The following is a 24,550-nucleotide window of genomic DNA, read 5'->3' on the forward strand; positions in this document are numbered from 1 at the left end:
TAAAGTAGTACAGTGAGTCTGGAGAGAGGGTATGATCAGTAAGCAGGCCCAAAAAGGTAGCTTGGAGTCAAATCAAGCTGGACTTAAGATGGTTTTAATGGAACTAGAGCTTGCCTTTTTTTTTTTTTTGAGGCAGAGTCTCGCTCTGTCACCCAGGCTGGAGTGCAGTGGCACAATGTCAGCTCACTGCAACCTCCGCCTCTCGGGTTCAAACGATTCTCCTGCCTCAGCCTCCTGAGTGGCTTGCATTATAGGCATCTGCCACCATGCCCAGCTAATTTTTTTGTAGTTTTAGTAGAAATGAGATTTCACCATGTTGGCCAGGTTGGTCTTGAACTCCTGATCTCAAGTGATCTGCCTGCCTTGGCCTCCCAAAGTGCTGGGATTAAAAGTGTGAGCCACCCCGCCCTGCCTAGAGCTTGCCTTTGAAGTCAGATAGACTCATGGCCTGGTGCTGCCACTCACCTACTGTCTGACTTTGAGCAATTTTCTCAAACTTCTTTTCTTCATTTATAAAATGGATATGAAAATGTTTATCTTACAAATTGTTCCAATTTGTAAGATGAGATAATGCATGTAAAAGACATTCTACATAGTAGACATATATGCAGAATGGGAAAAGTGAGAGGTTAGAGGCAGGGAGATTAGGTTTCGAAACTGATAATAAAGTTGGCTATTGATGAAAATGAATCATAACATATAATTAAGCTGTGCCAGGACTGGGCAAGTTGGCTCAGGCCTGTAATCCCAGCACTTTAGGAGGCCAAGGCAGGTGGATCATGAGGTCAGGAGTTCGAGACCAGCCTGGCCAATATGATGAAATCCTGTCTCTACTAAAAATACAAAAATTAGTCGGGTGTGGCGGTGCGCGCCTGTAGTCCCAGCTACTCGGGAGGCTGAGGGAGGAGAATCGTTTGAACACAGGAGGTGGGGGTTACAGTGAGCCAAGATCATGCCACTGCACTCCAGCCTGGGTGACAGAGCGAGACTTTGCCTCAAAAAAAAAAAAAAAAGCTGTGTCTGGTTTGTTTTTCCTGCATAGTAAGGAAGAAGGAGGAAGAAGTCAAAGAACAGGTGAATTGAAACAATATAGGGGTAGAAAGTATCTCTGAGAGAAAAGCTACTTACCTTTACTGAGCACTTGTCCAAAACATCAATTATCTTGCCATTCAAAGATGTTCTTTCTCCTGCATTCCTAATATCAGCTAATGCCATTAGTCCCAACACCCTAAGCTAGTATTCATCCCCCATATTTCAGCAGTCACTATAAAACATATCTCTAATATGTCACTTCCATTCTGCCTTCATCAAGCCAATTCAAACCCATATCTTCTAGGTTACTGTGAAAGCTTTTTTTTTTAAATTTTTATTTCTAAAATTATGTATGTTTGAGACAGGGTCTTGCTCTCTCACTCAGGCTGGAGTGCAGTAGCACAATCTCACTACAGCTCACTGCAGCCTGAGCCTCCTGGGCTCAAGTGATCCTCCCACCTCAGCGAGACTTCGTCTCAAAAAACAAACAAACACAAAAAAACCCCACATGGTTTTAACTCATTTAACACACACACACACACACACACACACACACACACGACTAAACTTCACAGTTAATTTCTTAGGTTTTTTTTTTTTTTTTTGAGACGGAGTCTAGCTCTGTCGCCTAGGCTGGGGTGCAGTGGTGTGACCTTGGCTCACTGCAACCTCTGCCTCCAGGGTTAAAGCAATTCTCTGCCTCAGCCTCCTGAGTAGCTGGGATTCCAGGCACCCACCACCACGCCTGGCTAATTTTTGTATTTCTGGTAGAGATGGGGTTTTACCATCTTGGCCAGTCTGGTCTTGAACTCCTGACCTTGTGATCCACCTGCTTCGGCCTCCCAAAGTGCTAGGATTACAGGCATGAGCCACTGCGCCCGGCCAATTTCTTAGTTTTTACCTAATTCCCTTTTTCTGTTCCAGGATCCCATGTAGGCTGTCACACTACATTTAATTGTCCTGTCTTCTTAGGCTCCTCCTGGCTGTGATGGTATCTCAGACTTTACTTGATTTTGATGTCTGACATGTTTGAGGAGTTTCCTAAGGTGTATTGTAAGCCTGATGTTTTTCTCATAATTAGACTGGGGTTATGGGTTTGGGGAGGAAAATCACATTGGTGAAGTGCCATTTGTATCACATGGTGTCAATGGTACATACTGTCTACATGACTTATCACTGTTGATGTTGACTTTGATCACCTGAAGTCGTGTTTGTCAAGTTTCTCTACTACAAAGTTACATTTTCCCTTTTCCATACTTTTTAGAAGGAAGTCACTGTGCGGCACACCTCATGCTTTATGAGTGAGGAGTGATGCTCCCTTTCATATTATATTTTTACTTTTTTTTTTTTTTTTTTGAGACGGAGTCTTGCTCTGTTGCCCAGGCTGGAGTGCGGTGGCGCAATCTCGGCTCACTGCAAGCTCCGCCTCCCGGGTTCACGCCATTCTCCTGCGTCAGCCTCCTGAGTAGCTGGGACTACAGGCGCCCGCCACCACGCCTGGCTAATTTGTTTTGTATTTTTAGTAGAGACGGGGTTTCACTGTGTTAGTCAGGATGGTCTTGATCTCCTGACCTTGTGATCCGCCCACAGTGCTGGGATTACAGGCGTGAGCCGCCACGCCCGGCTATTTTTTTTTCTTTAGACGGAGCCTTGCTCTTGTTCAGGCTGGAGTGCAATGGTGCAATCTCAGCTCACTGCAACCTCCGCCTCCTGGGTTCAAGCCATTCTCCTGCGTCAGCCTCCCGAGTAGCTGGGATTACAGGCACGTACCACCATGCCTGGCTAATTTTTGTATTTTTAGTAGAGACGGTTTCACCATGTTGGCCAGGCTGGTCTCAAACTCCTGACCTCAGGTGATTCGCCCGCCTTGGTCTCCCAAAGTGCTGGGATTACAGGCATGAGCCACCGCACCCGGCCTTTACTACATTTTAGAATAAGCTTATTTTCTCAAGTTTGTGTGTGTTTTAAAGAATGATCTCACCTGGCTGGGCGCAGTGGCTCACGCCTGTAATCCCAGCGCTTTGGGAGGCCGAGGCGGGTGGATCACTTGAGCCCAGGAGTTGAAGACTAACCTGGCCCAAATGGTGAAACCCTGTGTCTACTAAAAATACAAAAAATTAGCCTGGCATGGTGACACACGTCTGTAATCCCAGCTACTTGGGAGGCTGCGGCATGAGAATCGCTTGAACACAAGAGGTGGAGGTTGTAGTGAGCCAAGATCGTGCCACTGCACTCCAGCCTGGGCAACAGAGTGAAGCTGTGTCTCAAAAAAAAAGAATGATCTTTCCTGTCTATATACTGAATCTGTGTCAGGGATGCCCCAATCTTTAGTCAAGAGCTACATTTTATCACCTTAAAGGCTGGAGATCACCAGATAAGGGGGAAACAAACAGCAAAGTATCAGAGCTGCCCAGAAAGGAGGAATGCCACTCCTGCAGTTTTTCCTTTTCTGCTGAAAATTCAAAACTAAGTCAAGTATAACTGTGGCAGCCACTGTACAGTTCTATGCAGTTCTTCTGAACAAGATTTTGAGACTGACTTTTTTTTTTTTTTTTGAGACAGAGTCTCGCTCTGTCACCCAGGCTGGAGTGCAGTGGCGTGATCCTGGCTCACTGCAATCTCCGCCTCCTGGGTTCAAGCGATTCTTCTGCTTCTGCCTCCCGAGAAGCTGGGACTACAGGCGCCCATCACCACGCCTGGCTAATTTTTGTATTTTTGTATTTTTTTTTTTTTGAGACGGAGTCTCGCTCTGTCGCCCAGGCTGGAGGGCAGTGGCGCAATCTCAGCTCACTACAAGCTCTGCCTCCCGGGTTCACGCCATTCTCCTGCTTCAGCCTCCCAAGTACCTGGGACTACAGGTGCCCACAACCACGCCCAGCTAATTTTTTGTATTTTTACTGGAGACGGGATTTCACCGTGTTAGCCAGGATGGTCTCGATCTCCTGACCTCGTGATCCCCCGCCTCGGCCTTCCAAAGTGCTGGGATTACAGGCGTGAGCCACCGCGCCCGGCTTATTTATTTATTTATTTATTTTGAGGCAGAGTCTCACTCTGTTGCCAGGCTGGAGTGCAGTGACGCAATGTCAGCTCACTGCAACCTTCAACTCCCGGGTTCAAGTGCTTCTCCTGCCTTAGCCTCCCGAGTAGCTGGGACTACAGGCTTGTGCCACCAAGCCCAGCTAATTTTTTTGTATTTTTAGTAGAGATGGGGTTTCACCACGTTGGCCAGGATGGTCTCAATCTCCTAACTTCATGATCCGCCCGCCTTGGCCTCCCAAAGTGCTGGGATTACAGGTGTGAGCTACACGCCCCGCCTAAGTTTTCTATCTTTAGTAGAGATGGGGTTTCAAAATGTTAGCCAGGCTTGTCTTGAACTCCTGACCTCAATGATCCACCCACCTCGGCCTCCCAAAGTGCTGGGATTACAGGCATGAGCCACCGCGCCCGGCTGAGACTGACAGATTCTTATGCAGACAGTTTTCCTGGATTTGAAGCCTAGCTCCTTCCCTTTCTGGTCTTTGTGATCTTTTTTTTTTTTTTTTTTTTTTTTTTTGACAGTCTCACTCTGTTGCCCAGGCTGGAGTGCAGTGGCACGATCTAGGCTTACTGCAACCTCCACCTCCTGGGTTTAAGCGATTCTCCTGCCTCAGCCTCCTGAGTAGCTGGGATTACAGGCGTGTGCCACCACACCCAGCTAATTTTTGTATTTTTCGTAGAGATGGGGTTTCACCATGTTGGCCAGGCTGGTTATGAACTCCTGATCTCGGCTTCCCAAAGTGCTGGGATTACAGGTGTGAGCCACCGTGCCTGGCCCTTTGTGATCTTCTGTTGTTGTTGTTTTTTGAGATGGAGTCTTGCTCTGTCACCCAGGCTGGAGTGCAGTGGCACGATCTCGGCTCACTGCAAGCTCTGCCTTCCGGGTTCATGCCATTCTCTCGCCTCAGCCTCCCAAGTAGCTGGGACTACAGGCGCCCACCACCATGCCTGGCTAATTTTTTGTATTTTTTAGTAGAGATGGGGTTTCACCGTGTTAGCCAGGATGGTCTCGATCTCCTGACCTCGTGCTCCCAAAGTGCTGGGATTACAGGCGTGAACCACGGTGCCCGGCCTTGTTGTTGTTTTTTTGTAAGCTCATATTAAGTGATACTCTGTAATCCTGACAGATCCTTAACCCCTTTGAGACACAATTTCCGCATCTGTAAAATGGGGTTAATGACAGTGTCTACCTCACAGGGCTGTTGGAATGATTATGTGAGCAATGCATATTAAATCCCTTACATTTAATAAATAGCAATGCAGTGGAAATATTTTTTATATATTTTTTTGAGACAGAATCTTACTCTGCTGCCCAGGCTGGAGTGCAGTGGTACCATCTTGGCTCACAGCAACCTCTGCCTCCCGGGTTCAAGTGATTTTCTCACCTCAGCCTCCCGAGTAGCTGGGATTACAGGCGTGGGCCACCCCACCTGGCTAATTTTTGTGTTTTTAGTAGAGATAGGGTTTCATTATGTTGGCCAGGCTGGTCTCAAACTCCTGACCTCAAGTGATCCACCCACCTCCGCCTCCAAAGTGCTGGGATTACAGGCGTAAGTCACTGTGCCTGGCTTGAGACTCCATCTCTTAGAAAAAAAAAAAAAAAATCAGGGCTGGGCATCGTGACACCTGTGATCCCAGCACTTTATGAGGTTGTGGCAGGAATACTGCTTGAGCCCAGGAGTTCAAGACTAGCCTGAGGAACATAGCGAGGCCTTATCTCTATTACGACAAAAAGAAAAGAAAAGAAAAAAAAAAAAAAAAAGCTTGGAAGTCAGTATTTTGTTATAAGCCAGAGTGTAGAGAGTATGGCTCTGTGACCTAAGGGTAGTTCCTCTGAGACAAGAAAGGAAGGAGAAAGGAGAAATTAGGGAGGGGGAAGAGAAAAATGGGGCAGAGAGAATCAGGAGGTTGAGACTGGGGTAAGGATGTATCTTAGTCCATAAGAGGAGACCCAGTGCTCTACACCTTGGGCTGAGGTGAGGAGTTAGATATGAGCAACACTTTTTGAGGCTCAGATAGTTTGAGAGAGAAATTGAGACAGCATAGGCTGGTGCTTTGCTTCTTCCTATTGGCACCCTTCCAGTCTTGTTTTGACAGAATGGAAGGAATAGATAGGCTCCAGAAAACATTCAGTTGGTCCTCTTTGAGGCATGGATGAGTTCCTGAAAGACCCATGAGTAATGCAAGAAGAAAGGTGAAATTTTTTTGAGATGGAGTCTTGGTCTTGTCACTCAGGCTGGAGTACAATAGCGCGATCTTGGCTCACTGCAACCTCCGCCTCCCGGGTTCAAGTCATTCTCCTGCCTCAGCCTCCCGAGTAGCTGGAATTACAGGTGCCTACCATCACACCTGGCTAATTTTTTTTGTATTTTTAGTGGAGACGGGGTTCCATCATGTTGGCCAGGCTGGTCTTGAACTCCTGACCTCAGGTGATCCACCTACCTCGGCCTCCCAAATGCTGGGGTAACAGGCACGAGCCACCGTGCCTGGCCAAGAAAGCTGAAAATTAAGAGTCACTGTGACTGTCCAGGTTCACGACAGCATAGGCACGGTACAGGGGTGCCATGGCAGGGGCTGTGTGCTGGACAGCCCAGAGCTGGAGCCAGGGGCAAGGGCAGCTGAGCCTCATAAGTACCAGTGCAAGGCAAGTGGGAAAAGCTATAAGCAGAGTTTGCCAGGCAATTGTCCTGCAGAAAGTTTCCTGGAGGACAGACCATTATTGACATCAGTGGTGAGTGAGGCCAGGACAGAAGTCTATGACCAAAAATTCTATGAGAAAACTTCTCCTCAACCAGGGTCAGCAGAAACTAGCAGAAGACGACAGACTACAGGTGCTACCCTGGCCAACAGGATAACAAAAGGAACCTTCCAGACCCATCCTTAGAAGCATGGGGCTCAGGGGACAGACTTCAAGAGGGGAAAAGAAGCTCTGAGGCTGAGTTTATATTGAATATTTACCTGCAAGAGCCTAAACAGGAAGAAACTGATCAGGAATCCTTTTCTACATATCTATACCAGTTTTTGATAATTCGTGTATTTTTACATTTTATTTTTTGTTAGCTTGTTTTCCTTTTCAAACTCTTCTCTTTTAAATCCTTTTTATTTTTTAAGAGAAAACTTCTAAGTTTCATTAAATTTTTTAAATTTATTTTTTACAGAAAACTTTTAAGCTTCGTAAATCCCTTTACGTTTCTTTTTCCAGTTAGCCAGCTTTAGATTTAAAATTTCATTTTACAAGCTTCAAGAGCCTTGAACCCTTGCTTATTCTGAAACATTTGGATGTGTAACACATCTTAATAATAAACAATCCGATCTTTCAGTATCTTCAGCAAAAAAGCCTATCTTCATAAACTCCTTTTGTTGACAGTTTTATTCCTAAATCTAATTGTTAATATCTTGTGCCTTAATAAGTAAAGATGTGTCTGAATTTCCTATTTTGACCAAAGCCATAAAATATATTGGTATGCTTGTGTCTCTAATGAAGCAGATCCGCAGAGAATCAAATGAGAAAAATCCAACAAAAAATAGAGGCAGGCCAGATGTGGTGGCTCATGCCTGTAATCCTAGCATTTTGGGAAGCCAGGGCGGGAGGATCTCTTTGAGCTCAGGAATTCAACGTCAGAGACTCCTGAGAGCTCAAGAGGTCCTGAGATGGCAAGACTACGTCTTTACAAAAAATGAGAAAATTAGCTGGTTGTGGTGGCCTGCGCCTGTGGTTCTAGCTGCTAAAGAGGCTGAGGCAGGAGGATCACTTGAACCCAGGAGGCTGAGGCTGCAGTGAGACTGATCACACCACTGCACTTCAGCCTGAGCAACGGAGTGCATTTGCCTCCACCAGGAATATCAGTACAGTTTGATTACTGACTATAAGTCACACATTCAGATAATCCTAGTATTTTGACTTTTTTCTTTATTAATATCTCCTTTGTCTTCCATGGGATGTGCCTTTCCTTTTGACTCTGCTCTTTATGAATAAAGGAGTTGGATTCCCAATTCACTCAGAGGTTTCAGTTAGCTTTGCTTTGCCCCATGGCTTCAGGTATATAACTTCGTAATAGTTATGGTGGTTTTAAAATATGTCTACAAATCCTTTGACAGTCTTCTTCACAAAATGAAGAGCCTAGTTCCCCTCCCTTTCAGTGGGGGCTGGACTTAGTACCTCACTGCTGATGAACGGATTATGGTGGAAGTGAAGTGTGACTTGAGACCAGGTCATAAAAGAGGCACTGTGGCTTCTGTTTGCTGTCTTGGACCACTTGCTCTGGGGATGCCAACTGCCACATTGTGGGGACATTCAAGCACTATGGAGGGGGTCTACAGAGCGAGGAAGTAGATCCACTCTAAAAGTGGATTCTCCCAGTCTCAGTTGAGCCTTCAGGTAACTGATAACTGTAACTCTGGCTGACATCTTTACATATTTTTTTTTATTTTATGCATACACACAAACACGCATACTTTTTCTTTTTAGCCCTTGGAGAAGAAAAGGAGAGCAAGAACTCTTACTCAATTACATTTTTTTTTTTTTTTTTTTTTGAGATGAAGTCTTGCTTCGTCACCCAGGCTGGAGTGCAATGGTGTGGTCTCAGCTCACTGCAACCTCCAGCTCCTGGGTTCAAGTGATTCTCCTGCCTCAGCCTCCCGAGCAGCTGGGATTACAGGCGCCCACGACCATGCCCAGCTAATTTTTTATACTTTTATTGTTTATTTTTTGAGACGTAGTCTCACTCTGTCACCCAGGCTGGAGTGCAATGGCGCAATCTCAGCTCACTGCAACCTCTGCCTCCTGGGTTCAAGCAATTCTCCTGCCTCAGCCTCCTGAATAGTTGGGATTACAGGGCTGTGTCACCATGCCCAGCTAATTGTTGTATCTTTAGTAGAGATGGGGTTTCACTATGTTGGTCAGGCTGGTCTCGAACTCCTGACCTCAGGTGATTTGCCTGCCTGGGCCTCCCAAAATGCTGGGATTATAGGCATGAGCCACTGAGCCCAGCCTCAATTACATTTTCTTTCAATACTTTTTAATTACATGACCAGAAAGCGTTACTTTTAAAATAAGGCATAATCATGTAATTAGCTGTCTTTTTTTCAACATTATTCTAAAGCTTTTAAAATATTGTAATTTAAAAAATAATTATTGGCTGGGGCAGCATAATTTAGTAGAAGATAGTATCTTGTCCTTACTTAACCCTACAGGCTTTTTATTTTTTATTTTTTTTAGTGAGAAGAGTGGCATTATTTTACATTTTTGTAAATCTAATGTCTGACTTAATAGATGAAAGCTGGATTCCCAAAGCTGCTGTGCATTTAGTCTGTTAAAATATCACACGTGAGGTAGCCTCTGGAAAACTCCTGTCCATACTCATGAAAGAAATAGAGTGAAAAAGACAAATGATGTATTAGTATTATAAAAAGAGCTTTGACCTTGGCTATCATTGAAAGTCTGAGGACCGCCCCCTCTCCAACTACACTTTGAGAACCGCTGCTCTTGTCTCATCTCCTCATTTTATTTAGAAGGACACGGACCTCGGAAATCCAAAATGACGCAGCCTGTTAGTGGGAGGATACAGATTAGATGGTTTGTCTCACTTCTCTTGCTTAGGTTTTCGGTCAGATACTTGGGAAATATACCCTGATGGCCTGTCCTGTTCTCTGTAGCTGCAAAGACTGTTACAATATATTATCCCCGCAAAAATTTTAATAAAAAAGGAATCATCAGCAAACCTGATAAATTCTACAACAAGCATACTGTGTTTGAATTTGAGTTATGACATTTGAATTAGGATCTCTATTTGAACTGAAACACTAAGGCAAATTCTATGGCGCCCTACTCCATGCAAGTTGTTAACGACAAACTGCACAGTAAATATCACAAACACGGAAATACCACAGTGTCTGCATCTGAAATATAATTCAGTGACAGATTCCAAAAAAAAATTAAAAAAATCTTATCTTCTATATCCTGTGGGACCAAAAATATTTTCTCATGTACTGGCTGAAAGGGTAGTGGGCATATTAAGAGACTGCAAATAGGCTGGCAATTGTAGGGAGCTTTTTAGATTAAATAGAGTTGTTCTGAGATGTAGATATTTTTCATTCTCTAACCAGACCTTATTTTTGCCTTTTTTAAAAAAAAATCAAAGAATCTTCAGGCCGGGCGCAGTGGCTCACGCCTGTAATCCCAGCACTTTGGGAGGCCAAGGCGGGCAGATCACAAGGTCAGGAGATCGAGACCATCCTGGCTGACACGGTGAAACCTTGTCTCTACTAAAAAATACAAAAATTAGCTGGGCATGGTGGTGGGCGCCTGTAGTCCCAGCTACTCAGGAGGCTGAGGCAGGAGAATGGCTTGAACCCGGGAGGCAGAGCTTGCAGTGAGCCGAGACCGGCCACTGCACTCCAGCCTGGGCGACAGAGTGAGACTCCGCCTCAAAAAAAAAAAAAAGAATCTTCATGGTCACCTAGCGATGATTTCCTTTGTATCCTATTAGATGTTACAAATCTTCTTTAAATGGATCGTAGCCTTGTTCCTTAAAGAACGTAGTGTCGGCCAGGCGTGGTGGCTCATGCCTGTAATCCCAGCACTTTGGGAGGCCAAGGTGGGTGGATCACCTGAGGTCAGGAGATCGAGACCAGCCTGGCCAACATGGTGAAACCCTGTCTCTACTGAAAATACAAAAATTAGCTGGGTGTGGTGGCGGGCACCTGTAATCCCAGCTACTAGGGAGGCTGAGGCAGGAGAATTGCTTGAACCCTGGGGGCAGAAGTTGCAGTGAGGCTGAGATTGCGCTGCTGCACTCCAGCCTACACGAGAGTAAGACTTTGTCTCCAAAAAAAAAAAAAAAAAAAAAAAAAAAGGAACGTAGTGCCTAGAAAAGCTGGTCTAGCAGACGGCATTATTCCCAAGGAAGCTACTCCCAACTGTTGGTTTTTTTCAGGCTCTACATTCTTTGGTTTTGAATCATGTGGCATAATGGAAATTATATATATATATATATATTTTTTTTTTTTTTTTTTTTTTTTTTTTGAGATAGAGTCTCACTCTGTTGCCCAGGCTGGAGTGCAGTGGCGTGATCTCGGCTCACTGCAACCTCCACCTCCCGGGTTTGAATGATTCTCCTGCCTCAGCCTCCTGAGCAGCTGGGACTATAGGCGTGCACCACCATGCCCGGGTAAGTTTTGTATTTTTAGCAGAGATGGGATTTCACCATGTTGGCCAGGCTGGTCCCGAACTCCTGACCTCAGGTGATCCACCTGCCTTGGCCTCCCAAAGCGCTGGGATTACAGACGTGAGTCACTGCGCCCGGCCAGAATTTATCTATTCTTAATGAAAGAACTCACAACCGAGGCAAAATGAACTTTTTAGGTAAGGAGCTGCTTTTTTTTTTTTTTTTTTTTTTTTTGAGATGGAGTCTTGCTCTGTCGCCCAGACTGGAGTGCAGTGGCGTGATCTCGGCTCACTGCAAGCTCCACCTCCTGGGTTCACGCGATTCTCCTGCCTCAGCCTCCCGAGTAGCTGGGACTACAGGCGCCGCCATCAAGCCCGGCTAATTTTTTTGTATTTTTAGTAGAGACGCGGTTTCACCGTGTTAGCCAGGATGGTCTCGATCTCCTGACCTCGTGATCCGCCCACCTCGGCCTCCCAAAGTGCTGGGATTACAGGCGTGAGCCACGTCGCCCAGCCAGGAGCTGCTTCTTTTCTGGTTTCCCTTTGAGCAAATTCTTTCCAGTTCTCACCAAACCCCCAAAGGCCCCCAGGAAGGGAAACTGGCAGCTCCAAATGACCCTTTCCTCTCCCCAGGAGGACACAATGAGAATGCTGCAGCTGGTCCCCATGACTCCCACTCCTGTGCTAGCGGACGCAGTTCGAGCCGTAGCCCCAAAGGTATTTTTATAAACAGCTATTCTCCCCATAAGTCGGTGCCATAGAAACACAAGGTTATATTTTTGTTATGATAAAATGTGTGTCCAAAAACTATCAACAAATGTGCTGACACTGGCACTACTGTATCTTGGAAATAACTGTTAAACACATGCCTCTAACTCTCCAATAAAATATGAACTAAACCCAGTTTGTTCTTAGTCATAATGACAGATGACAATGTCACTGACCTGAATACCACTGGTCTCATACTAGCAAGAGGAATGATGATTTGTTCATTTTCTCTTGAACTATACGTTTAGTTGTCATCTTTTATTTAAATATTAAATAGCTGCTTTCCACTTCCCAAACCCATTCTCTAAAATTCAAATAAGTTTTGGGATTTTTTTGGGTCCCTTCTCTCCTTTCCCATGGAACTCTATACAGGGCACCCTTCTGTCCAGAACAGGCTAGATCTAATTCTTTGTAACTTCAGAAAGGGTATTGTGAACAGCTGAGATTTTTCTGAAAAGATGCTGTAATAATTGTTTTTAAATAAGATTTTTATAATAAGCTACTTTTAGCCACTATTTCACAGGTGGCAGGGTACTGCTGCTTGCTGTAAAGATTTAAGCATCGTGAACAGGTATAACACACCATGTCCTACCTGCTCCAGATAGCCCCCCTCCACCACGATGGGATTGGTCTGTCTGGAACTTGTGACACTCACCACACCCTTCTGTCCTCTGAAGGTGCCTAGTTTTCAAAAGGCCTGTCTGTCCATGACATGTCACCAGGCTGAACACAGAGACTGACAAGCGAAGTGTGGCCTGCATCCTGGCTTTGCTACAGCTCCATCAGTAACTTCTCTGCCTCAGTTTTCTACTTGTCAAACACTTAATGACCACAGTACCTATGGGTCTGTTGCTGTGAGGATTAAATGAGATAATGAATATCAAATGTTTAGAACAGTGCCTAATACACAGTTGACCCCTAATAAATGCTGATATTATTATTTTTAACACTGCAGAGACATGCACACATAGAAATATGGTAAGTTAGATTTGAAACTAAAGGCAGGGTTATTAAAGACAAATGATTAGTGTTTTAAAATCTGAATTACACAGTTTGTATTCTAAAACACATACACACACACACACACAGAAATGTGTACCAATTAAACACAATAAAGTTCAAAGGGGATATAAATTACAGTTTTTCTTTTTTTAACAGACAATAGTAAAATACTACAGTCAGCTCACTATACACACAAATCATGAACAGCAGCTTTTCATTAAGGTTTCCAATATCTTACTCATTTACCAACTCGAAGAATTTAAAAGAAAAAAGGTACAGCAGGCTCTACCCATTCTCTCTCTCTTGCTCTCACAACACATTTATAGCTGTACATCCAGACCGATTATACAGGCATCTACAGAATAGGTACAGAAAGGAATTTTGTAAAAATTTCCATACACATAATCCTTCAATGTCTCCATTTGTAGGAGAATTTTACAAATGAAGACACGACAGCAGGGTCATCTGTATTCGATCATCTCCTGCAAACATGGTAAAGGGTGAACCATTGAACTTCATAGCTCAGTCCATCTCCTCAGCATTTTCCAGAATCAAGCAAAATAACAACAGCAAAACCACGCCACAGTGAAACCTACCAATCCAAAACAAAACCACACACACAGAAACACACAAAAATCAACACCTCCCACCCCACCCACCCCACCACTACTCCTGGCTGTCCTTGTGTTTTCTTACAGTAATACGGCTCTCTTCATTCCACCTGCCCAGCTGGGCTGAGCCACGGTCCAGGCAACTGTGGAGTCAGGACCCCAGTCATTGTCAACAGTTATAATACAATGTCAAGTCAGCAGGTGGAGGGGCAGGTGGAAGACCAAAGAATATAGCTGTGAGATTTCTCAGTGTGCTTATGAAACAAAGGACAGAGAATGGCAGCACGTGGCTTGGTAGCCAAGGGAATTATGGCACCAAACTTGCAGTCAAACATACATGTTCACACAAAAGAGTGGACAGCAAAAATGTTGTCTTATGTAAGTTCTTTGGTTATAAAGAACAGCATTCTATAACCTTTTCTGCAAAGAGGGATTTGCAAGCTCATTCTTAGGCAATAAAATATTTTTCATCTGCTCATGTATAAGAGATCGCCCAAGTTGCTTTGTAACGAAGTCCAGTACCTTATGATTTTCTACAAATCACCTTTATCTGCATTTTAGTGTGCAGCCTTGTCTGTCTCCAGACATACTATAGATACACATTTCATATACATAATATATATTATTTATAAAAAACAGATTAGAGCATTGACTCCAGATTCTACAGTAAGAACTGATTAAAATTGTACAAGAATAAAGTCTGTTGGAATCTGTAGAGGTTTCTATACAGTGGAGGTGTGTAGTAAGTGCAAAAAAAAATACTGTCACTTAGTTAATCCAGGATTTTCAGTTCTCTTGCTTTCTGGAAAAAGCAGAGGCTGTTGATTCACCCAAGTGACAAAGTGCCGCTTCTCCCACTGGGGAGGGGAAAGGAGGTGGCCCAGGAAGTGCACGGTGTGGATTCTCCAGCTTCTGGTCTGAGGTCCAGCCAGGCGGCAGCATGTTTTAGAGATGGGGCTGGTGCTTGCCCAAGGTGACCAGGCGAACAAAGACGCCAAGCTGTGGCCTGAGGAGGGGTGCTTGCTGCTCTCACCGTGAGGTTGTGCCTCCCTGGAATGCAGAGGCTGGTGAGTTCATGCTTCTCATCCCCACCTCCCCACCCCACCCACAGCACCTACTCTCAGCCCAGTCCACACCCATCACAAGAAAGGGGCTCTTCCTGAAGGGACCCACAGGATTGGTTTTATTATGGAATCCAGTGCTGGAATCCACATTGTAAAAGCCCTGAGGTGATGTTTCAAGGAAAAGTAATGACAGCAACAACCAAAGTAAAAATTAAGGAAAAAAAGTGACTTCTGGATGTGCAGTCTAAGTCATTTCAGGGGTTTGAACAAAGTCAAACTTATGGTTCTCAGAAAAAATTTTAAACTGTCAAAACAACTTATTAAAACCAATGTAGCAGATACATTAAATAAAAAAACATTTAAATTTTTGTAGAGACAGAGTCTCGTTATGTTGCCCACGATGGTGTCAAACTCCTGGGTTCATGCGATCTTCCTGCTCTGGTCTCCCCAAAGTGCTAGGACTACGGGCGTGAGCCACTATGCCTGGCCGCCAAAATTTTTTTTTTTTGAGACAAGAGTTTAGCTCCTGTTGCCCAGGCTGGAATGCAATGGCACAATCTCAGCTCACTGCAACTTTCACCTCCCGGGTTCCAGCGATTCTCCTGCCTCAGCCTCCCGAGTAGCTGGGATTATAGTCATGTGCCACCACTGCCGGCTAATTTTGTGTTTTCAGTAGAGACAGGGTTTCTCCATGTTGGTCAGGCTGGTCTCAAACTTGTGACCTCAGGTGATCCGCCCGCCTCAGCCTCCCAAAGTGTTGGGATTACAGGTGTGAGCCACTGCGCTCCGCTAAAAACTCTTTAAAGGAGAAAAATCTCCATAATCCCATCATCTTGATATAACATGTTTGTAAATTTCACTTTAAACCATGATCTTTGGGAGGAACGTACTATTCTGGAAACTTTCCAATCCTTACCTTTTCCTGTTGGGTTCTAAATAATCTAGGCAATGAAAAAAGAAGGGGGTTGTTGCTCCTCTTCCCTCTTCTATGGGCAGTGCTTCCCACAGTATGGCCCTCAGATAACCTGTCTCCTATTACTCTATGGGGATGCGAGGGGATGGGGAGGAAGGAAGGGTTTGTGAATACCTTATTTCCCCTGCTGCACACTGTATAAAGCAAAATCTTAGGGCTGGATGGCAGTGACTCCTGGGAATTTGAATTTTTTAAAAATTTTAATTTTTAAAATTATTTAAACAGAGATAGGATCTTGCTCTGTTGTCCAGACTGGTCTTGAGCTCTTGGGCTCAAGTGATCTTCCCGCCTCAGCCTCCAGAATAGCTGGAACTACAGGTGCAAGCCACTAAGCCCAGGTGAATTTGAATTTTTTTTTTTTTTTTTGAGACGGAGTCTTGCTCTGTTGCCCAGGCTGGAGTGCAGTGGTGCGATCTTGGCTCACTGCAACCTCCGCCTCCTGGGTTCAGGTGATTCTCCTGCCTCAGCCTCCCGAGTAGCTGGGACTACAAGCATGTGCCACCATATCCGGCTAATTTTTGTATTTTTAGTAGAGATGGGGTTTCACCATTTAGCCAGGCTGGTCTCGAACTCCTGACATCTGGCAATCCACCTGCCTCGGCCTTCCAAAATGCTGGGATTACAGGCATGAGCCACCATACTCGGCCATGAATATGAATTTTTAAGAGGCCTGCCACACCCTCCTTGCCCCTAGAGTTTGTAGCACCTTTAGGTTTGAGAAGCAAACCTAATCTTACAGTAAAGAATTAAAGAGTCTTTGACACTGGCCTTCTTGACGAACAAGGGTTGAAAAGCTGATGTATACCAGCTGTGTAGCTTCTGCTTTAATCCAGGTAAAGAAAGTTGAAGACCTAAACAAATGCATGTATTGCTTGCAAGAATGGTGGTGAGTGACTCTATCATTATTCTTATGTCGGGGAAGGAAGTCTTTTTCTTGTCAGAGATGACTGTTTAGGTTTTGGCAGTTCAGTAATGAGTATGCTGTATAAATGACCATACATTGAAATTTTAAGGGCTGTTATGAAAAGCAGGGGCAAAAGCCACATCAATGGAGTAACTTGCTCGCAAAACAAAGGGATAGAGTAGCAGCATGATTATTTTACTTTTACCAAGCCTCTTTCTAGCTCTGTCAGTTCTTTATTTTGCTAAGCCATGACTCTCCCATGCCTTTTACAGCAAGTTGGGGGACCAAACAAATGAATGTGAATGGGAATAAATGGTGGTACTTCAGAGCAGAATGCTCAGAAGCAGAACATCTCTTATTTATGTAATTTGTGATTTTCCTTAGTAATAGTGGCAAAAACTCATTTTGTTCCCGTATGAAAATTAACCAATATTAGTCAGGCACAGTGGCTCATGCCTATAATCCCAACACTTTGGGAGGCCAAGGGGGATGGATCACCTGAGGTCAGAAGTTTGAGACCAGCCTGGCCAACATGGTGAAAATATAAAAAAATTAGCCAGATGTGCTGGCACGTGCCTGTAGTCCCAGCTACACGGGAGGCTGAGGCAGGAGGATCACGTGAGCCAGGGAGGTGGAGGCTGCAATGAGCCAAGATCGTGTCACTGCACTGCAGCCTGGGTGACAGAGTGAGAGCCACACTCCATCTCAAAAAAAAAAAAAAAAAAAAGAAAAAAGAAAATTAACCAGTATTATAAACTGAGTTACTTCCAAAGTCCAAACTTCAACTGCTGCTGGAATTTGCCTATACCGCCCCAAAGCACTTTTTCACCTACGGGCACCAAACGACTGTCTATTTCCAATTCTATGATATATATGTTTTTCTCTCCACACTTTACCATCTCTGAAATTGGGGTGTCTTACAACTGTTGATATGACAGAGTTTAATTGGCAGTATTTTTTCTTAATGATACATAAAATAATGGTTCATATAATAATCAAAGGAATCACAGATTTGATGAAATATGGTAGATGCTACCAGAACACTTTGGGAAAACTGGTAACTAAACATCCCAGGGAATGAATATGAGATTGATCCTTATCCATCTGAACACTTCATTCAACACCAACCCATGTGCCAGGTAAAAAAATCCACTGGTCTTATAATTTCACAATTGCGTTCTAGTTCCCAAAACAGACTTGCTCTCCGACAGAGACAGCTGTGCAGGAAGTGAGCCTGCTTCTCTGTGGGCTCATCTTTGCTGTCACAAACAACTGGATGAATCTTTCCTACCAAGTTGTTGCGGTGAAGGGCCTCTGGGGTTGACATACAGTTAGACATACTCATTGACAGCACAGAACCCAAAAGGCTGCCTCTGGAATTATTACCTGGTCATTCTCTAACTTGGAATGCAGCTGGCTGGGGTGGTGGAGCCCATCGGAGACAGTCTTGCCGCCTGTTTTATTTGGTAGACTCCTCCTACTGGAAAGCTCTCCAGCAGAAGAATCTGTCAAACCATCAAAATCTTTTCCCTCTGACACTCCCATAAATTCTGTGAAAGAATGGTCTTCAAGGATGTTGGTGGTGTGTTCTACCGTCACCTCCCTGGGGCAGAATCCCCTGGCTGGCTGGCTAATTTTGCTGGGGCAGGCATCTAGTTCTGAACATGAGCCAGTCCTGCACAGTGATTTGGAGTTTTTCTCAGGGATGCTCTGGGATGATGGGCTCCCTTTGGCTAAGGCACTGTTTTCCTTGAGTGGCACCACAATTATCTTGTCCTTTACCAAGCCTTTTTCGACTTCTGTCAACTCTTTGTTTGAGGACGGCCTGAAATCATGCACAAGCGATGGTGTGGAGTGCTCGGTGGAGTCTGCATCCTTCGTCTGAATGGCCAGCTGGTCTGAGCTGTCACTAGAAGGGACCACCATGTCAGACAGGGTGGCATTGGAGGCACTGTGGGAAAAGTAGCCACTGGTAATACTGCTGGTGGTAGGGCTACGGGACACTTCTTTCTCCAAGACCCGTGAGTTTGACAGATCTACTTTAGAGGAAAACCATTCCCTGTTCTCCAAGCTGGCATTGTAAACACTGAAGTCAGCAAACTCCACAGGTACATAAGGCTGTGAACTTATTAGCTTCCTGTTAATAGCTTCCAGCTCATTTTCTTCCTCCTCAGAGTCCTATAGAAGTGAAGCAAAAGTCAGTCATTAGCTCCTTGTAGCAACTGTACTGTTGAGACAAGTTTTAAATACTTGGCTGTTAAAGGCATTCACATTCACATGGTGTTCAGTGTTTTCTTTTTGTCTTTCCAAATTTGGCCAGATCTTGTCACCTATTGTAGATATAGGTGTATCAGTATTCTCAGAGACCTGTGAATATAAACCCCTTATCATCTAATATGAAGGGGATTTAGTTCTTTTAGGCTCACTCAGTGCTAATTAGAAATCATTCCTTCCCTGGTTTAAGAGAAAGAATGGAACTGAAGTGCAGTGGACATTTTGTTAGTTATTCAAAATTAGCTTTTAGTTGTGATGTTTTCTCTTTTCTCATTAAATGAGCAGAGAAACAGGCAGAAGCAGAGAAGAGCCACTCCTTTTGTCTTTAGAATCTTCACCTTGGGAAGCAAAGTGCAGGCAGTTAAGGTAATTTTTAAAAAGTTTCTCAGCTATTTTATGGGGGAGAAGAGAGTAAAACAAAGAACCCAACTGCAAAAGGGCAAAAAACACAATTTCAACACTCATTCTTATATTATGCTACATATCGTAAGGCTATAAAATACTAACAATCTGACAATTACGGTCTTCTAGGATTTTTGAGAAGTATGAGTAGAGGGTTTGGCTAGAAGGTGAAGAAGGCATAGTGAAATTTAAATGAAAATCTCCTTTGTAAAACAGTTTTCAAGCCCCTGTTCACAAAAATTGGTAAATACATGCAAAAGTGGGTGTCACCAACTCCCCAGTCTCTCTCCAAATGAATGATTCTTTTATATTTGGTAGAAAAAATGTGGGTATTTTAAGTCCAAATAAAATAAGTGATAAACTCTCTAGCCATTTCTAATTAATCTCAGAAGCACCTAATGAAATCGCAAATATTCCTTTTAAAATATGTCTTTCATTCAACAAATACACACTGAACATCCACTACATGGCAGCCATTGTCCTAAGGACTTGGAAATAGCAATGGTGAGCACAAGAAGGCATGGTCCCTCCCTCAGAGAATTACAACTTTGCGTCCTTGCTCTTAGAACAATCCTGGATGCTGCATGGATGGATAAGAATTTCATTCACAGGTAAACTTAGACACCTCAAAAACAGTTAGCTTTCTTTCATTGGTCATCTGGTTTAAAGCATCTGTACAATTAGAACTACTAGGTGCATGTAAAGACCTGGAACCGAAGCATCAGCCTTACTCATTAAGTTTGCATTTTATTAATTTACTTATTTTATTTTTAAGATTTATTTATTTATTTATTTATTTATTTATTTATTTTGAGATGGAGTTTCACTCTTGTTGCCCAGGCTGGAGTGCAATGGTGTGATCTCGGCTCACCGCAACCTCCATCTCCCAGGTTCAAGCAATTCTCCTGCGTCAGCCTCCCGAGTAGCTGGGATTACAGGCATGCGCCAGCATGCCAGGCTAATTTTGTATTTTTATAGAGACAGGGTTTCTCCATGTTGGTCAGGCTTGTCTCAAACTGCCGACCTCAGGTGATCTGCCCGTCTCAGCCTCCCAAAGTGCTGCGATTACAGGCATGAGACACCGTGCCCGGCTAGGATTTATTTATTTTTATTTATTTATTTTTTTACAGACAGGGGTCCTGCTCTGTCACTCAGGTTGGTGTGCAGTGATGCAACTGTAGCTCACTGCAGCCTCAAACTCCTGGGCTCAAGCAATCCTCCAATCTCTGCCTCCTGAGTAGCTGGGATTACAAGTGTGAATCACTGTACCTGGCCCATAACATAAATTTGCTTTTTAATCGAGGTGGGGAGGGGGGATTTATCTTCAAGGCATGGCAAATACTTGTTCACAAATGAACATAAATTTCATCTGTTTAGATTAATAGTAATATTTTCTTTTGCATCTCAAGATTCTATATACCTCAAAAAAAGTTTAATACTCTCTTAAATGCTTCTCAGCTTTTAAAATAATTTAGTTTTTATAACTTAGTTGTAAAAATGTGACTGAAAATAAATGTGTAAAGGAATTGGTGATCCTAATTCTTTAGCTGTTAATCAAAGGTGAATATCAAATATCAGTGATAAAGTTCCTGAAATTGGCAAAACAAAATTTTTGGCAACACTAATCTCTTCTCATCTTTATCTGCATTCTAAATTAAGTAGCATTATCAAAAAAGTGGGGTGGAGCATTCTTTCCCAGGGTTGGGCAGAATGTTGGAGAAGGAACAAAGATTGAACAGAATTGTCTGAACCAGTAGCCTTTGCCTATATTTTCTAGATTCTCTACTTGTCATGTTTAGACTCAAAATTAATTTTTTTTTTTTTTTTGAGACGAAGTCTCACTCTTGTCGTCCAGGCTGGAGTGCAATGGCGCGATCTTGGATCACTGCAACCTCTGCCTCCCGAGTTCAAGTGATTCTCCTGCTTCAGCCTCCCAAGTAGCTGGGATTACAGGTGTCCGCCACCATGCCCGGCTAATTTTTGTATTTTTAGTAGAGACAGGATTTCACCATGTTGGCCAGGCTGGTCTCGAACTCCTGACCTCAGGCGATCTGCCCGTCTCGGGCTTCTAAAGTGCTGGGATTACAGGTGTGAGCCACCATGCCCGGCACAAAATTAAATTTCAAGTGTTTGTATCTCTTCTATTTCCTTTTGATTTAAGTTGGCAAACACAATTCTCCAAGTCCAAGCATACCTGATGCAATTAATTACTAAATTACTATTTACTATAATTAAGTACTGAAAAGTTATTTACTTCAAGGAAAATCAAATTTAAAAATGAGAATTAGTAATTTGGAGTCCTTTATATGCTTGAAGTTATTTCTTCTCGAGACCAAGGAAAGGCCTGTTATCCTAAAATACAATTTTGCTGAATGAAATATGTAATCATGAATTCACTGAGTAGAAATAGTTGTAAATTTATCAAAGATAATAAATTATTCCTCAAGGATTAGAATGACATTAATAAAACTAAGAATCTACAAAGCCCCAAGAGATTAAGTTCAAATAGGGAGCAGTTCACAGTGGGGAAAATAACCCAAAAGCCCAGAGGGAAAGACTAAAACAGTAGGGACAGCTTATTCCAGAAAAAGGAAAACTTAGTAGAGATTAAACATTTTCCAATACTTAAAAGGAGATTGAATGTTTATTGAGTTATTGCCAATTAAGGGAGGATTTAATTGGCTTAAACTCATATTTTTGAGGGAGTTTGGTTTAGATTTTTTATACCAGAAATCTCATTTCTCATCATAGCTTAAAGAAGAATAAACTAAGCACCTTCCTACAATGTCTTAAGGAAAAAGATAATTAAAACCCTATCTGAAGTGGCACATGGAGTCAAGTTCTCAAGCTTCTCTATAGCTACAGTCTTCATCTGAGTTTTGCAAATTTAACTTATGCAGCTGATATTTACCTATACAGAAAACACCTTGATTTTAAAAAGGGACTGAAATCCACATTAAAGCAGTGACTCTTTGTAAGGAGTTTCCTTCATTAATGCAATTTCCACTCCTATTATAATCATGTCGTGCTGTTCACCAGAGATCTCTGTTTGCAGAACTGCACCAGCCAAGGGCTCCAGTACTTCTGTCCATGGTACTGAGGAGTGAGCCCTTTATCTGAAGAGCAGCTGCAGGGCATACTGGAATTGCACTATATTTGAAAGCACCTGGAGTCACTGGAGTCCCCTTAATTATGCTGAGGAATGGGGCTCTTTGGTCTTATGCTATCATTAACTGTGAGACCTTGAGCAAGTTGCTCAACAATTCTAACCCTTTGCTTCTTCTTCTGTAAACCAGAGGAATAAACCACATGCTGTCTATGCAAGACCTAACGGAAAGGTCGTGTGGATACTGGGAAAAATCACTGACTTTCTTTCTGCTATTCTCTATGCTTTATGACTTAAAAAGACAGACTCCAAAGGCATATTGTTGCTTCTGTCTTAGTCATGAGACATGAAGTACATCTGTATGTCTTCCCAAATTGATCAAACAACAAAATATTGCTTAAAGAATCAAGCATAGCCATGTTTACTATATTTTATGTGAAATTACAGAAGTTACTATGGTAATTAGGTGGGTTAAACATTAACAGGAACAATGTCTTGATGCTGTTCTTCTCAAGAATGATTTCAAACTCTCTTGATCATCTGAACTGAGTCACTCTGATTGTTCAAGAGTGGAAGAGAAAAGAACGTGAATTAGTCACAAAGGAAGAAAACAGTCTGTACCCATTTATAAGAGAAAAAACAAAATTAAAGTTTCCCAAAGAGAAACAAGAACCTCAGGTCAAACAAATAATGCACTTAATCTCTACCAAAACACCTTGAAAAACTGCTGTCTGGAATGAATTAAAGAGCCCAATTGCCTCTTAGGTGCAGAGTGCTCAGCAAGCCAGTTTCCTATGGAGAGTAGAGACAGCTTTTTCAAGTAAGACTCCAGCAAGAACAATAACACCATCAAGTCCTTCTTACTGTACTCCATGGTGCATTCAGTCACAGAGTCTAACTGCTGCTTGAGACTTCCTGGGTCAAGAGAATCTGGTTCCATCCTTCTCTCTGCTAGCTGAAAGCCCCGAGATGGGTTTTATTTTAAAATATTAAAGAGAAAGTGAAGAAAACACGAGCCTAGCTCTGTGAACTGTGAAACTATCTGCTGAACACCCCAGAAGGGTCATCCAGCAGTGTCTTGATGGTGTTGTACCAAAATGTATCGTTGCAATAGGTTTAAATTGAGTGGCTGTGCACCACAGTGATAAGTGTCATGCCAATAAACAGATCCAATCAGACACAGAGCCAGAGAATTGGCAGGGGAAAAAACTAGTCATTTGGCCTTTTTAGCCCACACTGCAGCCCTTATTAATTGAGCAGAGGGTGGTCAGGTAAGTGAGAGAACAGCTCAGTAAGATTTGGAGAGATGAAGGAGCAGCTATTAATGTGCGGATTCTTCTCCATCAGGAACTAGGACAGGGCTTTGGGATAGAGGGACAAGGAGAAACCAAAGGCAGAGGAGGGGAAGAGGGATGAAGAAATAGAGGGAAAATGGTGCTTTTCTTCTTTCTTCACATTAGGAATGAGAAGGTTGTTTCTGAAGACCCACCCGCACCCCAAGCACGCAGGTGGGTGGCCAACTGCATATCTGGATTAAGCTGCAGTTAGTTAGTTCTCACACAGTGTGCGTTAGGAACTGTTAAAGGATCCCACACTAATGAGGGAATTGGGAATGGGTCTGACATGGTGTCGCTGGAAAATGAGACTCCCTACACTCTTCCCAATAGAGACGATGAGATGCAACATAAACATCAAGCAGTCTCCTGTCTCCCTGAGCTGGTTTTACTTTTTCAAAGCCTAGGAAGCCACAGGAGAGTGAAAGCTGAGACAAAAATTTAGAGAATTCTTTCCAGGCTTGAGAATAAACAGGATTTTTTTTTTTTTTTTTTTTTTTGTAAATTGAGGTATAATTTATAACCTAAGGTGCCTGGTATGCAGTGTTTTTAAAACTGTATCTCAAATTAATAATTTTAAAACCAAGTGCTAAGGAATGAGGTTTTGTGGGTAGAGTTTCAGCCTACCTGTGGCAAAATATATATAAGCCATCCTGAATGCAAGGCTGGCACCAAGGTATTGGAATATATTTTGCCAGCTAATTAACAAAGGCTACCCTAGACAGTGAGACGATGAAGGGTGATTATGATAGATTGTAGTGCAGCTCTAACTACAGAATTATCTTGGCAATAGCATCAGGCAACATAAAAAAGCTTCCAAACATATCCACAGCTAAATGCATTAAATGCATGATTACTTACTCCAAGTAAGTGCACTTC

General features: G+C 43.2%; 1 protein-coding gene across 4 annotated transcripts in view, besides 1 other annotated feature; it reads right to left on the minus strand.

The window, feature by feature from the left end:
* Positions 10,189-10,391: a silencer, noted in NCBI's record as "fragment chr6:17756633-17756835 (GRCh37/hg19 assembly coordinates)". NCBI's record gives its function as "represses an EF-1alpha promoter that drives an FKBP-Casp9 reporter gene in an ReSE screen in HepG2 liver carcinoma cells {active_cell/tissue: HepG2}" and the evidence as "EXISTENCE:reporter gene assay evidence [ECO:0000049][PMID:32094911]".
* KIF13A (kinesin family member 13A) overlaps positions 12,913-24,550 on the minus strand; it is a 228,510-nt gene continuing 216,872 nt past the window's right edge. For 3 of the 4 annotated variants that reach the window (NM_001105567.3, NM_001105566.3, NM_022113.6), the window contains one exon: positions 17,480-18,733. In NM_001105567.3, coding sequence (NP_001099037.1) covers positions 17,897-18,733 — 837 coding nt within the window. In that variant the 3' untranslated portion in view covers positions 17,480-17,896. Of the gene's footprint in view, positions 14,665-17,479; positions 18,734-24,550 lie in introns of those variants that run through there. The other variant, NM_001105568.4, reaches the window with a different exon arrangement.

The sequence above is a fragment of the Homo sapiens genome, chromosome 6, assembly GCF_000001405.40.
Source record: "Homo sapiens chromosome 6, GRCh38.p14 Primary Assembly".
NCBI lineage: Eukaryota > Metazoa > Chordata > Mammalia > Primates > Hominidae > Homo > Homo sapiens.